This window comes from Homo sapiens, chromosome 16 (genome assembly GCF_000001405.40).
Source record: "Homo sapiens chromosome 16, GRCh38.p14 Primary Assembly".
In the NCBI taxonomy this organism is placed as follows: Eukaryota; Metazoa; Chordata; class Mammalia; order Primates; family Hominidae; genus Homo; species Homo sapiens.
Genome location: NC_000016.10, coordinates 27,565,686 through 27,578,821, shown reverse-complemented (window position 1 = coordinate 27,578,821; position 13,136 = coordinate 27,565,686). Strand labels below are relative to the sequence as shown.

Here is a 13,136-nt window from a genome sequence, read left to right as displayed (position 1 = left end):
CGGATCCCTTGAGGGCAGGAGTTTGAGGCCAGACTGGCTAACATGATGAAACCCCATCTCTACTACAAATACAAAAATTAGTCAGGCATGGTGGGACACACCCGTAATCTCACCTACTTGGGAAGCTGAGGCAGAAGGATCACTTAAACCCGGGAGGTGGAGGTTGCAGTGAACTGAGATTGTGTCACTGCACTCCAACCTGGGTGACAGAGTAAGACTATGTCTCAAAAAAAAAGAAATGACCGTAACCTTTCCAATGCCTCCGTTCAGGCCACCTCTCCCAGGAAGTCTTTCCCTCCTCTGGCACTCCCTGGAGCTTTATTTGGGGCTCATCTATAATGTTTATCATTCTCTTCTTTGGTTTTGCCTCCTGGTATCTGTGGCAGCGGTGGAGAACTGAAGTGCCTTTAGGGCCAGAGAGGCCAGGCACAGGGTACAAAGAAGCACCTGGGTCGACAGCCAGAGCTATTTATTTTGTTTTCTTTTTTTGAGATAGAGTCTCACTCTGTCGCCTAGGTTGGGGTGCAGTGGTGTGATCTTGGCTCACTGCAGCCTCTACCTCCTGGGTTCAAGAGATTCTCCTGCCTCGGCCTCCTGAGCTGCTGGTACTACAGGCATGTACCACCACGCCTGGCTAATTTTTGTATGCCAGAGTCTACTTAATCCATGGAAAGAGCTGGTTCTCATGCATGGCTGCACATTGGAACCACTTAGGGGATTAAAAAATTCTGATGCCCAGGTTGCACACCCACATATTTTGACCTAACTGGTTTGGAAAGAGGCCTGGACATTGGGTTAGTTATATAAGTATGAATGAATGAATAAATGTATGAATGAATGAATTGCACCAGGCCCTGTGCTGACTGCTTTATGCCAGTGGTTCTCAAACTGCTACACGTTATAATCACCTGGGAACTTTTATTTTATTTATTAAAAAAAATTTTTTTTTGAGACAGGGTTTTGCTTTGTTGTCCAGGTTGGAATGCAGTGGTGTGATCATAGCCTATTGCAGCCTCGAACTCCTGGGCTCAAGCGATACTCCCGCCTCAGCCTCCAGGGTAGCTGAGATCACAGGCACAAGACACCACACCTGATTTTCATTATTTTATTTTATTTCATTTCATTTCATTTGAGACAAGTCTCACTCTGTCACCCAGGCTGAAGAGCAGTGGCCCGATCTCGGCTCACTGCAACCTCCGCTTTCTGAGTTCAAGTGATTCTCCTGCTTCAGCCTCCCGAGTAGCTGGGATTACAGGCACCTGCCACCACGTCCGGCTAATTTTTGTATTTTTAGTAGAGATAGGGTTTCACCATGTTGGCCAGGCTGGTCTCAAACTCCTGACCTCAGGTGATCTGCCCACCACAGCCTCCCAAAGTGCTGGGATTACAGACATGAGCCACCATGCCTGGCCTCACACCTGTTTAATTTTTTTAATTTTTTTGTAGAGAAAGGGTCTTGCTTATGTTGCCCAGGCTGGTCTCGAAGTCCTGGGCTCAAGCAATCTTCTCGCCTCAGTCTCCCAAAGTGCTGGGATAACAGGCGTGAGCCACCACACTCGGCTACCTGGGAGCTTTCAAATATCCAGATGTTGCTAAGTACCGTGGTTGGCAATGTTTAAATGTGGATTTAACCATTTTAAATGTGGATTTAAACATTTTAAAAAATCCACAACTTTTAAATGTGGACACCTACTTTTTAAAAATTATAACAGGGTACGAGCTAGATACAACATATCTTTGGGCTGAATTTGGCCTGGTGAGTTCATTGACAACAGCCACACCCTCCCTTTGTCATGGTGGCTTAAGATCCCTCAAAGAAGTACCCGATCCCAACCCAGGCTGGAAACTACGTGTTCACTCTCCAGGGAGTGCACTGGCCACACCACCTCACCACCACGTGTTCACCCTCCAGGGAGTGCGCTGGCCACACCACCTTACCACCTTGAGAAATACAACATTTGTTCTAACCAGCTCTGAGAAAGAGACAGCTGGTCTTCTCCTTGCCTTTCATGGTGACATAGTTTGATCTATACCTGGCATCCTGGGTAAGGCACAGAGGGTTGGGAAGTCAGGAGAGAGGGCATAGGATGCAGAAAGAAGAGGTGGGTGGAAAAGGCATGTTATAATCTGTCAGACGAGAGTCCTGGCAGCTTGCTGTTTTTTTTTGTTTTGTTTTGTTTGTTTTTTTGTTTTTAATAATTGTTTTTTAGTAGAGGTGGGATTTTACCACGTTGCCCAGGCTGGTCTTGAACTCCTGGGCTCAAGTAATCCACCCACCTTGGCCTTCTAAAGTGCTGGGATTATAGGCAGGAGCCACTTCGCCAAGCCTTTATTTATTTAATTATTTATTTTTAAAATAATTGTTTGGGGTTGGTTTTTTGTTTTGTTTTTCTAACCGAACAAAAGCTCTGTTAAGAGAGTTAGCACTCTCCTTTTTTCAAAAGGCCTGAAACCAAGTGAAATATCTTTCCAGGTTAAGCCTGGGTATTGTGATAAACAGCTTCACTCTCTGTTTCTCACTACAAGCACTTCCCAGGAGAGAAATGATCTGAAATGCTCTCGGGCGATGGGCACAATGGGAGTGGCTGGGAAAGCAGCAATTAGGGGAGTCCCGTAGCTAGAGAGAGACAGAGAGAGAAGGGAAGAGTATCTCAACTAGTTTCCCCCGCCCCGCTCCATGGTTTCCCAGTTAATTTCTTAATGTGGAGAAATAGGATGCTGCTATTCTGTGACCAAAGGCCAGGGGTGGGTTTCAGGTTTCTTTCCTGGCTTGCAGGCTGGTCTTCACCCCAGGTCAGTTAACTGAGGGCGGCCTGCAGGTCTGGGCTCACTTCCATCCCTGCTCCTCTACCTCAGGGTCTCTGGAAGGATGCTGTGGGAAGACAGGCACTTGCTTCTGCCTCCAGAGAAAGATTCCTTACCAGAAGGAGTGGGAAAATCCACCCTGGCTTTGCCCCTAGACTGCCCACTTGGGCGACACTTAGATCTTTTCAGCAGCAGCGAAGTTCCTAAGGCTTCGTCCAGCCCTCATCCTAGATGGGCTGATTGAAAGAAAAAGAAAATGCAAACTGGCTGTTCTGGTTACAGCTGATGAAGGAAACAACAGGAGAAGGTGAAGGTCATGTAACTCACACGACGCTGAGTGCAGTTCAGCCCCAGCTTACTCCTCAGAGCTGGCCGGGACAGCCCAGAGATGGAAGGAGAAAGACCAGGTCTTCTTGCCATTTTTGAGGCCCTGGACCCAGCTGAGCCTGACAAATGCCCTTTCATTATAGGAATGATGACACTTTACAATCAAAAGTGTTGGTAGATATGTCTGGATGAATTTCTCGATTGGTCAGTGTTTCTGATGAGCCACACAATTTATCTCCCCTGCACTCCTGTCCCACCTCCACTAAATAAGACTCAATTTTATATTCTCATAAGCCTGGGACATGATCAAAGGGCCCTGGAGTAACCTATGGCTCCTTGCTACCACTTCCCACTTGCTTTAGGCACCATGATCTTGCAACCTTCCTTATTCATGTCTCTCTGACTTTGACTGTACTGATTCCTTGGCCTGGAAAACTCCTAGTCATCCTTCAAGAAGTAGCCTGCACATCACCTTTTCTGCAAAGGCTTTCTTGATATTGCTGGAAGAGTCAGGTGACTGGTTTCTGTATTAAAATCTCACTTTCTCTGTCCTTCTGTGATAGCACTTCTCACACTGTATTGTAACTATTGTACTGTAGCTCTCTTCCAACTAGACAGTGCATACTCTGAGATCAAGGACTGTGTTTCACTTAACCTCTAGTCCTGGTCCCCCTGGTGCCTGGCACAGAGTAGGTGGGCTCAGAGGCGGGGAGGGGGGAAGGTAGCGGATTTCAAGAATGGCCACAATATTTTGTAGCTCTTCCCATCAAGAGGTGAGATCTATTTCCCCACCCCTTGAATCTGGGACCTTGTGACCTGCTTTCAAGAACAGAAAGTGGGGCCGGGTGTGGTGGCTCACGCCTGTAATCCCAGCACTTTGGGAGACTGAGGCGGGCTCGGGAGTTCGAGACCAGCCTGGCCAGCATGGTGAAACCCCATCTCTACTAAAAATACAAAATTAGCCGGGCTTGGTGGCAGGCGCCTGTAATTCCAGCTACTTGGGAAGCTAAGGCAGGAGAATTGCTTGAACCCGGGAGGCGGAGGTTGCAGTGAGCTGAGATCACGCCATTGCACTCCAGCCTGGGCAACAGAGAGTGACTCGACTCAAAAAAAAAAAAAAAAAAAAAAAAAGAATAGAAAGTGGTAGAAGTGACACTGTGTGACTTGTAAGCCTAGGACTCAAGAAGTCCTGCAGTTGCCACTCCTGCACTCTTGAGCCCTTGAAGCACCATGTGAAAAAATCTGCCTAGCTTGCTGGCAGATGAGAAGTATGTATACCATTAAGAGGTGAGGTGTGGAGGAGAACTGAGGCACCCTGACACTCAACTACCCCCCAGTCGACACAGCCATGAACTGCAGAAACATGAGTGAGCACCATGCGGAGCCTGGTCCAACAGCAGAACTGCCCAGATAAGCCCAAACTGCTAACCCACCAAATCCAGAACTAAATATATGGTTGTTGTTTTAAGCCACTAAAATCTGGGATGATTTGTTACACAGACAAAGTTAACTGATACACTCAGAGATGATTATTACAAGTGATTATTACAAGTGATTATTACAAGTGACACTGGGTTGGTAAGTCTAGTTGCTCACTATCATTTGCTCCAGGATTCAAGCTTGGGACCCCAAGAGAAAAGAGTATATTTAGGGACACTTATTCGCCACCCTGCTCCCTCAGGTCCTTTCAAATAGAGTTGCCTCCCATCAGCCCTCGCCAGGGACACATTTACCTCCTTTTTCTCTCGTGAGCAGGACCAGCTTCTCTCGGCCTTTCGCAGAGTCTGACCTGTCGCAGTTCAAAAGCAGAACCAAGATTAAGGCTGTTTTAGAACAGCTAGTTTATCAACACAAAAGATTTTTATTTGCAAACTGAATAGATGGGACCAATCATAATCAAATGATTTTAAGAAAATGCAGCCTATTATTATAATGGGAAAATGGCACACTTTTGAAATAGACCAACGGCAAGGAAAATGGTAATTCACACACTTACATTATTTGACTATAATGAACAAAGCTCCAGCCTTTAATCTGGAACATTATCTGTACTCTGAAAGGGCTGAGGGACTGTAGTTTTCCCCTTTGAATTACATTTTTATTAAATTGTTTGGAATTACATAAAATGCCTTCCACAAGAATGCCTTCCTCTGTGCACACACACATACCCTTTGATGAGAGCATACCAACGTGCTGCACCAAACCCCCAAATCCACCACATAGGTGACAGTGCAGATGTGAATTAGTGGTAATCACCTGCATTTCATATAATAGGCAATTTCAGAGAGAATTACTGCTTTTCTGGGGGAGCTAGAAGACTAACATTTGAAGGTGTGCATAAATTCAACAGAGTGACATCATAATGTTTAAATATGCTGTTTCGAATGCAGTTTTCACAACTTTTATGGAAGTGTCCATTATAAAGGAATGCCTTGATGCAAAATTAATGGATTGCTTTGGTTTGAAAATATAAAACAAGAGTCACTGCATTATTGTCAATGTATCTCCTAAACTGCCCAACTTTACTCCCCAGTGGCTATTTGTGAAAATGCCACAACCAGTGTCCCCTTAGGTAAGAGCACTCAGAAGACAGAAGCAAAAAATGCTTAGTGACAGCTTAGCAAGAGGAAAGCAACGGGGACTGAGTCTCAGAGAAAAGACACGTCTTTGGACATGGTCACTTCTAGCAAGTCTGCACGTGAGTGAGGGGTAGGGGAGGGGTCACAGCTGGTGATAAAGCTCAAGGGATGATGCTTTTGCCAAGAAAGTGTGAATAAAGGGAAGAGCCAAGGCCTAGGAAGAACCGCTGGCCACGGCCAGACTCTAAGGCCAATGTGTAAAAGGATTTCGAAATGAGGCCACTGGAGAATTTACAGGAGGGCATGGATCATACAGTATCATGGTATGGGAGAAGACATCTTTTGGTTTATCTGGTCAGCTCATAATGATACCCTAAACTGCCCTCCTCTCTCTTCCTCTCCCCTCTGTCCACCCAGTGGGGCCTCTGGGCAGCCATGATTATACATAATCCCACGCCCTGAACCTCAGTATGCTGTGCTATGGATGGACCTCTGACCCAACTGCAGCCAATCAGAATCCCAGTCCCAGGAATTTGGAATTGGTTCTGAGAGACAGAGAAGAGGGAGACACAGGGCAGGGCTATCTCCGTGTGTGAGCTGTCATGCTGAGTTACTACCAGCCACAAGCCTTGGGGTAGACTAACAGAGGCCAGGATTCCCGGATAGAATGAACTAATCTGAAACTGGCTACATGCCTGCCTTTGTCTTCATTGTGTGTGTGTGTGTGTGTGTGTGTGTGTGTGTGTGTTTTCTTTTTTGCCTTAAGACAAAGAACCTAGGATTTAAGGATGAAAAAGAGACCAGCATAATGTACCACTGTAATACAGGGTGTTCTTTAAAAAAAAAAAATTTTTTTTATAGAGATGGGCGTTTTGCCATGTTGCCCAGGCTGGTCTCAATTTCCTGGGCTCATGTGATCCACCCCACTTGGCCTCCCAAAGTGCTGGGATTACAGGCATAAACCACCACACCCAGCCCAGTGTGGGGTGTTGATAGTTGGGGAGATGTATGTGGGGACAGGGGTATATGGGAGCTCTCTGTAATTTCTGCTCAATTTTGCTGAACGCTCTAAAAACCAGTTTATTAGTTAAACACACACACACATACACACACACACACACACCCCCAGGATTTAGGGATCAAGAGATTTGATTGTTAGGCCAATTTTATCAGGACCTCCTGAGGCTTGCTGCTCTGGGATAGGAGCTAGAATGAGCAGCTCCCAGAAACCCTTGACCACACGGCTCTGGCTGTCAGTCTAAGGATTCCGAGTGAGCCCTAAGGCTGGCCAGGGAAAATGACATGCCAGGTAGTCAGGCCTCATCATGCAGAGCGAAGGGACTGTCCCTGAGCTGCTAGGCACAAAGCGGGTTGGGGTCTGGGCCACTGACAGACTGGGGTGTCCTGGCAGCAGGAGTAGTGCAGAGGCCAGTGAGATGCCAGCAGGGCCCTGCAGGGCCCCACAGGGCCCAGGGCAAGAGCAGGCAGCAGGAGGGAGCAGAGCTCCTCCAGGGTGAGCACGGCAGATCCCAGCGCCTGACTGAGGCCCTTGCTTTGCTGGCCACACAGCCTCCTGGGGATCTGGTCCTGAGGGACAAGTGACAGCTATGGGACCTTGGATAAGTCATTAGGTCTCTATGGGCCATAGTTTTTTTTTTTTTTCTTTAAGAGTTAGGCTGAATCATCTTTATGGTTGCTTTTCATCTCTAAAATTATGTTATACTAATAAAGAACAGTTTAAAAAATTAAGGTGGACAATAAAAACAAAACATTAATGTGGCCAGTCGTGGTGGCTCATGCCTGTAATTCTAACACTTAGGGAGGTCGAAGCGGGTGGATCACCTGAGGTCAGGACTTCAAGACCAGCCTGGTCAACATGGTGAAACCCCATGTCTACTAAAAATACAAAAATTAGCCGGGCATGGTGGCACATGCTTGTAATTCCAGCTACTCAAGAGGCAGAGGCACAAGATTCACCTGAACCTCGGAGGCAGAAGTTGCAGTGAGCCGAGATCGCACCACTGGACTCCAGCCTGGGTAAAGGAGTGAGACTCTGTCTCAAAACAAACAAACAAACAAACAAAAACCAAAATATTAACGTAACTGGGCAGCTTAACTTCAAAATGCATTTGAAAACTTTTTTTTCCCCTTTCTCTTGGATTTCAAGATTGAACCTTAAAGGAAACTGCAGAAGCCTTTTCTCTTAGCCTTAAAATAGACTCCGTGTCCCTCCCTTTCTCACCGTATATACTGTCTTCACATTTCTCTAACTGTATACTAGTATTTGCCTATGTGCCTTCTTAGAAGTTCCAGCGGCTAATCTTGGAGCAAGCCTGGAGACCCAGCTGCAAAATTGCAGAGATGACTTCACGGTGGCGAGTTAACAACCTGGCCATTGTAGAGATGACGCCAGCCCAATGTCCAGGTAGACTGGGACCCAAGATGGCCACCCGAACAAGACACACAGATAGTACTCAGCCCAATTCTTGCATGCCTTCTTTATCAAGTTTTCCCTTTTTATTTATGTATGTATTTATTTATTTTGAGATGGAGCCTCACTCTGTTGTCCAGGCTGGAGTGCAGTGGTGCGATCTCCGCTTACTGCAACCTCTGCCTCCCAGGTTCAAGCAATTCTCCTGCCTCAGCCTCCCAAGTAGCTGGGATTACAGATGCCCACCACCATGCCTGGCTAATTTTTGTATTTTTTTTAGTAAATATGGGGTTTCACCATGTTGGCTAGGCTGGTCTCGAACTCCTGACCTCAGGTGAACCGCCTGTCTAGGCCTCCCAAAGTGCTGGGATTACAGGAGTGAGCCACTGCGCCTGGCTCACTCCTGTAAGGGAAAACTGGAGTTTTCTTCCTCCACAAAATGGAAGTGGTTACTTTGGATAGGAATCTGACCACTTCCCTTTATTAGTTTTGGTTAATAAATTCACTTTCTTATTACCAGACCTCACTCTTATTAACCGAACTCTGCAAGCAGCAAGCATGAGACCTGCGTTCAGTCGTTCAGTTACATTAATGCAAAGAACATAGAGCTTAACTACTAAAATGTGAAAGTAGGACAGATGTAGTGGCTCACGTCTGTAATCTCAGCACTTTGGGAGGCCAAGGCAAGAGGATCACTGGAGGCCAGGAGTTCAAGACCAGCCTAGGTAACATAGCAAGACCTTGTCTCTATAAAAACAAACAAAACAAAAAGAATAAAATAAAATAAAACATAAAAGCAAATCTTTCTACTGGAGTTAATTAGAAGCTTTTTAATTCATTAAATCGGAAAATAATTTGCTTATTTTCCAACGAAGATAATTCACTCAATTAAGAGCATTTATTATCTAAACTCCCTAGAAGACTGGTTGGCCCAGTCCTCACACCACTGAGCCTTTCTCTCTCCTCCAGATTAGCTCGATGCGAAGACAGCTCCTGCCTGTCAAGGATGGAAGTGCTGTAACCAGATTACACTGTGCCTGTCTACCGCACTTAGCTTCTCTGAGCATTTTCCTACCTATATCTCATTTATTCTCACAACAACTCAAAGAAGGAAGTGGAAAAAGGTGACATTAATATCAATATATGCCACTTGCAAAATTAAGGGGGTGTTCCTCTGAATTTTGCAGGGTGACCTGCCTGCTTCAGCTATGAAGCAATAAATAAGGCCAATATACTTCACTTTATAGAACAGATGTCTGTCTGGGGAAAAGAAAAAAAAAGAAGTGACTGCATTGAATTTTGTAACTACAATACTATTCTCCCACTTATGATTTCAGCAAGGTTTTATCTGCACATAGGATTCGTTTTCAATGGTTAGCACATTCTGACACTTTGCTCTAGATGAAGATAATCTTCATCGCTACCATTTAGAGGGGAGTCGCATCTTCTTGGATGTTAGTTTCTGAAGTCATCAGGCAAAGGGAAAATCAGTGCCAAAATTACCCTTGATAAAGAGTCTTAAACAACCCGTAAAGTACAGTCTACAGGACATAGCTTTTTAAATCCACTGCTGTAGACTAATATGCATGCATATTTGATGCATATGGAAATGTATATAGTACATGATAAAAATATATATGCAGAATATAATTTCATGATATTCCTAATTAAACTATTCATATTGTAATCACTCCCTCTATTTATCCTCTTCAGGTGGGAGGGGAGTGGTGGGGGTGGAGGTAAGAGCCCAGCACTGACATTAGACCCTCACTCCCATCGAGTCTGGTAAAATGCTCAGTCTTGGCATGAAAGGTCAGGTTTTGGAGAATAAAAGGAACTCAGTAGAAATCTGCAGGTAAAGAAATCCAGTGTAAGGGCCTCCCCATCACAAGAGTTTTGGATTAAGAACTTATTTCCGGCCGGGTGCGGTGGCTCACACCTGTAATCCCAGCACTTTGGGAGGCCCGGGCGGGCAGATCACGAGGTCAAGAGATTGAGACCATCCTGGCCAACAGGGTGAAACTCTGTTTCTACTAAAAATACAAAAATTAGCTGGGCGTGATGGCATGTGCCTGTAGTCTTAGCTACTCGGGAGGCTGAGGCAGGAGAATCACTTGAACCCAGGAAGCGGAGGTTGCACAGAGCCGAGATTGCACCACTACTCCAGCCTGGCGACAGAGCGAGACTTGGTCTCAAAAAAAAAAACTTATTTCTTATTCCCGGGGCAAGGCCCGGTTGCTCACACCTGTAATCCCTCAAAAGCACAAATGCATTTTTCCTTTGAGCTAGCAATATCACTACTAGGAATCAGCCGTGAAGACATCTGTCCACAAATAGGAAACAAACATATGCTCAAGGTATTTGCTGTATCATGATTTGTAATAGCAAATATCAGAAATAATAAGTCACTGAACAAATATGATGAATCCGCACAATGTAATTGAACACTGTAAAGCTGAAAGAATGAGCAAGCTTCTCATATTCTACTCCTTATATATCCTTAAAAGATGGTCATATTTTAGGTGGAAAAAAAAATCAAGACCAGAAAGTATATGTTGCATGTAACCTTTTCTCTAAGAAAAAGGGAAAATCAAAATATATACTCATATTGGTTCTATTTGCATAAAGAACTACCCAGAGAGGCATGTGAAGGACTCTTAAGGTATGTTTTTTAATATTGTTTTTATTTTTATTTTCCTATTACTATTATCTTTTAGAGACTGAGTCTTGCTCTGTTGCCCATCCTGGAATGCACTGGTGTGAACATAGCTCACTACAGCCTGGAACTGCTGGGCACAAACGATCCTCCCACCTTAGCCTCCTGAGTAGCTGGGATTACAAGGGTGTGCCACCACTGGGTGCAGTGGCTCACGCCTGTAATCCCAGCACTTTGGGAGGCCGAGGCGGGTGGATTACCTGAGGTCAAGAGTTCGAGACTAGCCTGGCCAACCAACATGGTGAAACCCCGTCTCTACTAAAAATACAAAAATTACCCAGGCGTGGTGGCAGGTGCCTGTAATGCCAGCTACTCGGGAGGCTGAGGTGGGAGAATCACTTTAACCCAGGAGCCAGAGGTTGCAGTGAGTCAAGATCGTGCCACTGCACTCCAGCCTGGGTGACAGAGGGAGACTCCTTCTCAAACAACAACAAAAACACAAACAAACAGAAAAAAAACACAAGGGTGTGCTACCACATCCAGCTTATTTACCTTTTTGTAGAGGTGGAGTCTTGCTATGTTGTCCAGGCTGGTCTCAAACTCGTGGGCTCAAGCAATCCTCTTGCCTCAGCCTCCCAAAGTGCTGAGATTATAGGCGTGAGCCACTGTGCCTGGTCTTATTTTTATTTTTGAATGATCTATTTGGATCTATTTCCTATTCAAAAAGCTAAAACAAACTTAAAATATGCAATGTCCAAAGGCTGATTTAAATGTGTAAAAAACATAACATAATGAGAAATGCTAAAGACTCTCCCATCCAAGACCTAAGATGGGGCAGGTGGTCTGTCAGAGGGAGATGGAGGAGCCTCCGTGAACCTCAGGACCCCAAATCTTGCTGGAAAGAGAACACAATATTTTTGGAGGACAAACTGACTTCTTTTAAGAGATCAATCAGTAATGTGTGAGAGATAAGAATGAAACGATGACAAAATACGGTTTCTGGAAATTGAACCAACAGTTCCTTAGTGAAGCCAATAGGCTATTGGTGACCTGCTCATTTATTTGAGGGCAAAGTTTTTATGAAATGGCTAGAGAAGATGAGAAAGGAAAAAGAAAAAGAAAAAAAAAGATAAAGGAAGGTGCAGATGGGTTGTCTGACGATCTGATTTCAAAGGGAGTCAGTTTCTCCAGTGCTTTCTGAGCACCTGCCATTGTCAGCTTCTTCCCCGGGTGATAGCTCTTGGGATTTCCTACCATTTGCAATGACAAAGCCGCATGGGTCACAGAAGCAAAGCAAACTGCCCATGGTCACACAACAAGGAAGCAAGGAAGGGTTAGCAACCCATTAGTCCAACGGCTGACCCAGTATGCTCAGCGTGCTTGCCCCACCCTGCTGCCTGCACACCGTTCTTCCAGTCCAGGAAGGAGAGCACTCCCTGTCATTACTACCCCCACCCCCATACCCCCATTTCAACTTCCTTTTTTTTTAGACAGAGTCTCACTCTGTCGCCTGGGGCTGGAGTGCAGTGGCACAATCTTGGCTCACTGCAACCTCCACCTCCTGGGTTCAAGTGATTCTCCTGCCTCAGTCTCCCAAGTAGCTGGGATTACAGGAGCCCACCACCACGCCCGGTGTATTTTTGAATTAGTAGAGACTGGGTTTTGCCATGTTGGCCAGGCTGGTCTCGAACTCCTGACCTCAGGTGATCTGCCTGCCTTGGCCTCCCAAAGTGCTGGGATTACAGGAGTGAGCTACCACGCCTGGCCGGCTTCCTGAACCTTGATTCTGGCTTCTACCTATAGTGTTTGCAAAGATACGCATGTGTTGGAGTGAGGTAAACAGAGGAAGGTGGCAGGATGGGGACAAGGTGTCCTAAGAACAGCTGCCCAGGAGGGGCACAGTGGCTCATGCCTGTAATCCTATCACTTTGGGAGGTTAAGGTGGGAGCAGCTCTTGGGCAACAAAGCAAGACTCCATCTCTTAAAAAAAAAAAAAAAAAACAGCTGCTGGTTTCCATACAGAAAGGTGGGCCTGGTTTTGATGGATTAGATTTTCCAGAGAAGTGATAAATCCAGTCTTCTAATTTTTAAATGATTAATAATTTAAAAAATTTTAAGGCTCTGTACAGGCTAAAAAAATCAGGCCTCTAGTTTCCAACTCAGTACATAACTAGGCAGACAGATCTCCCACTTTCCCACTCTTCCTTTGTTTTTTTTTTTTGTTTTTTTGTTGTTTTTTTTATGAGACATCTCACTCTGCTGTCCCGGCTAGAGTGCAGTGGTGTGATCATAGCTCACTGCAGTCTCAAACTCCTGGGCTCAAGCCATTCTCCCACCT

General features: G+C 45.4%; 1 protein-coding gene across 17 annotated transcripts in view; it reads right to left on the bottom strand.

Moving 5' to 3' along the window:
• KATNIP (katanin interacting protein) overlaps positions 1-13,136 on the bottom strand; it is a 230,201-nt gene that overhangs the window by 201,523 nt on the left and 15,542 nt on the right. For 16 of the 17 annotated variants that reach the window (XM_005255201.4, XM_005255202.4, XM_011545775.3 and 13 more), the window contains exon 2: positions 4,866-4,921. The exons of the other annotated variant lie outside the window; for it this stretch is intronic. In XM_005255201.4, coding sequence (XP_005255258.1) covers positions 4,866-4,921 — 56 coding nt within the window. The remainder of the gene's footprint in view (positions 1-4,865; positions 4,922-13,136) is intronic. 17 annotated transcript variants of the gene reach the window in all.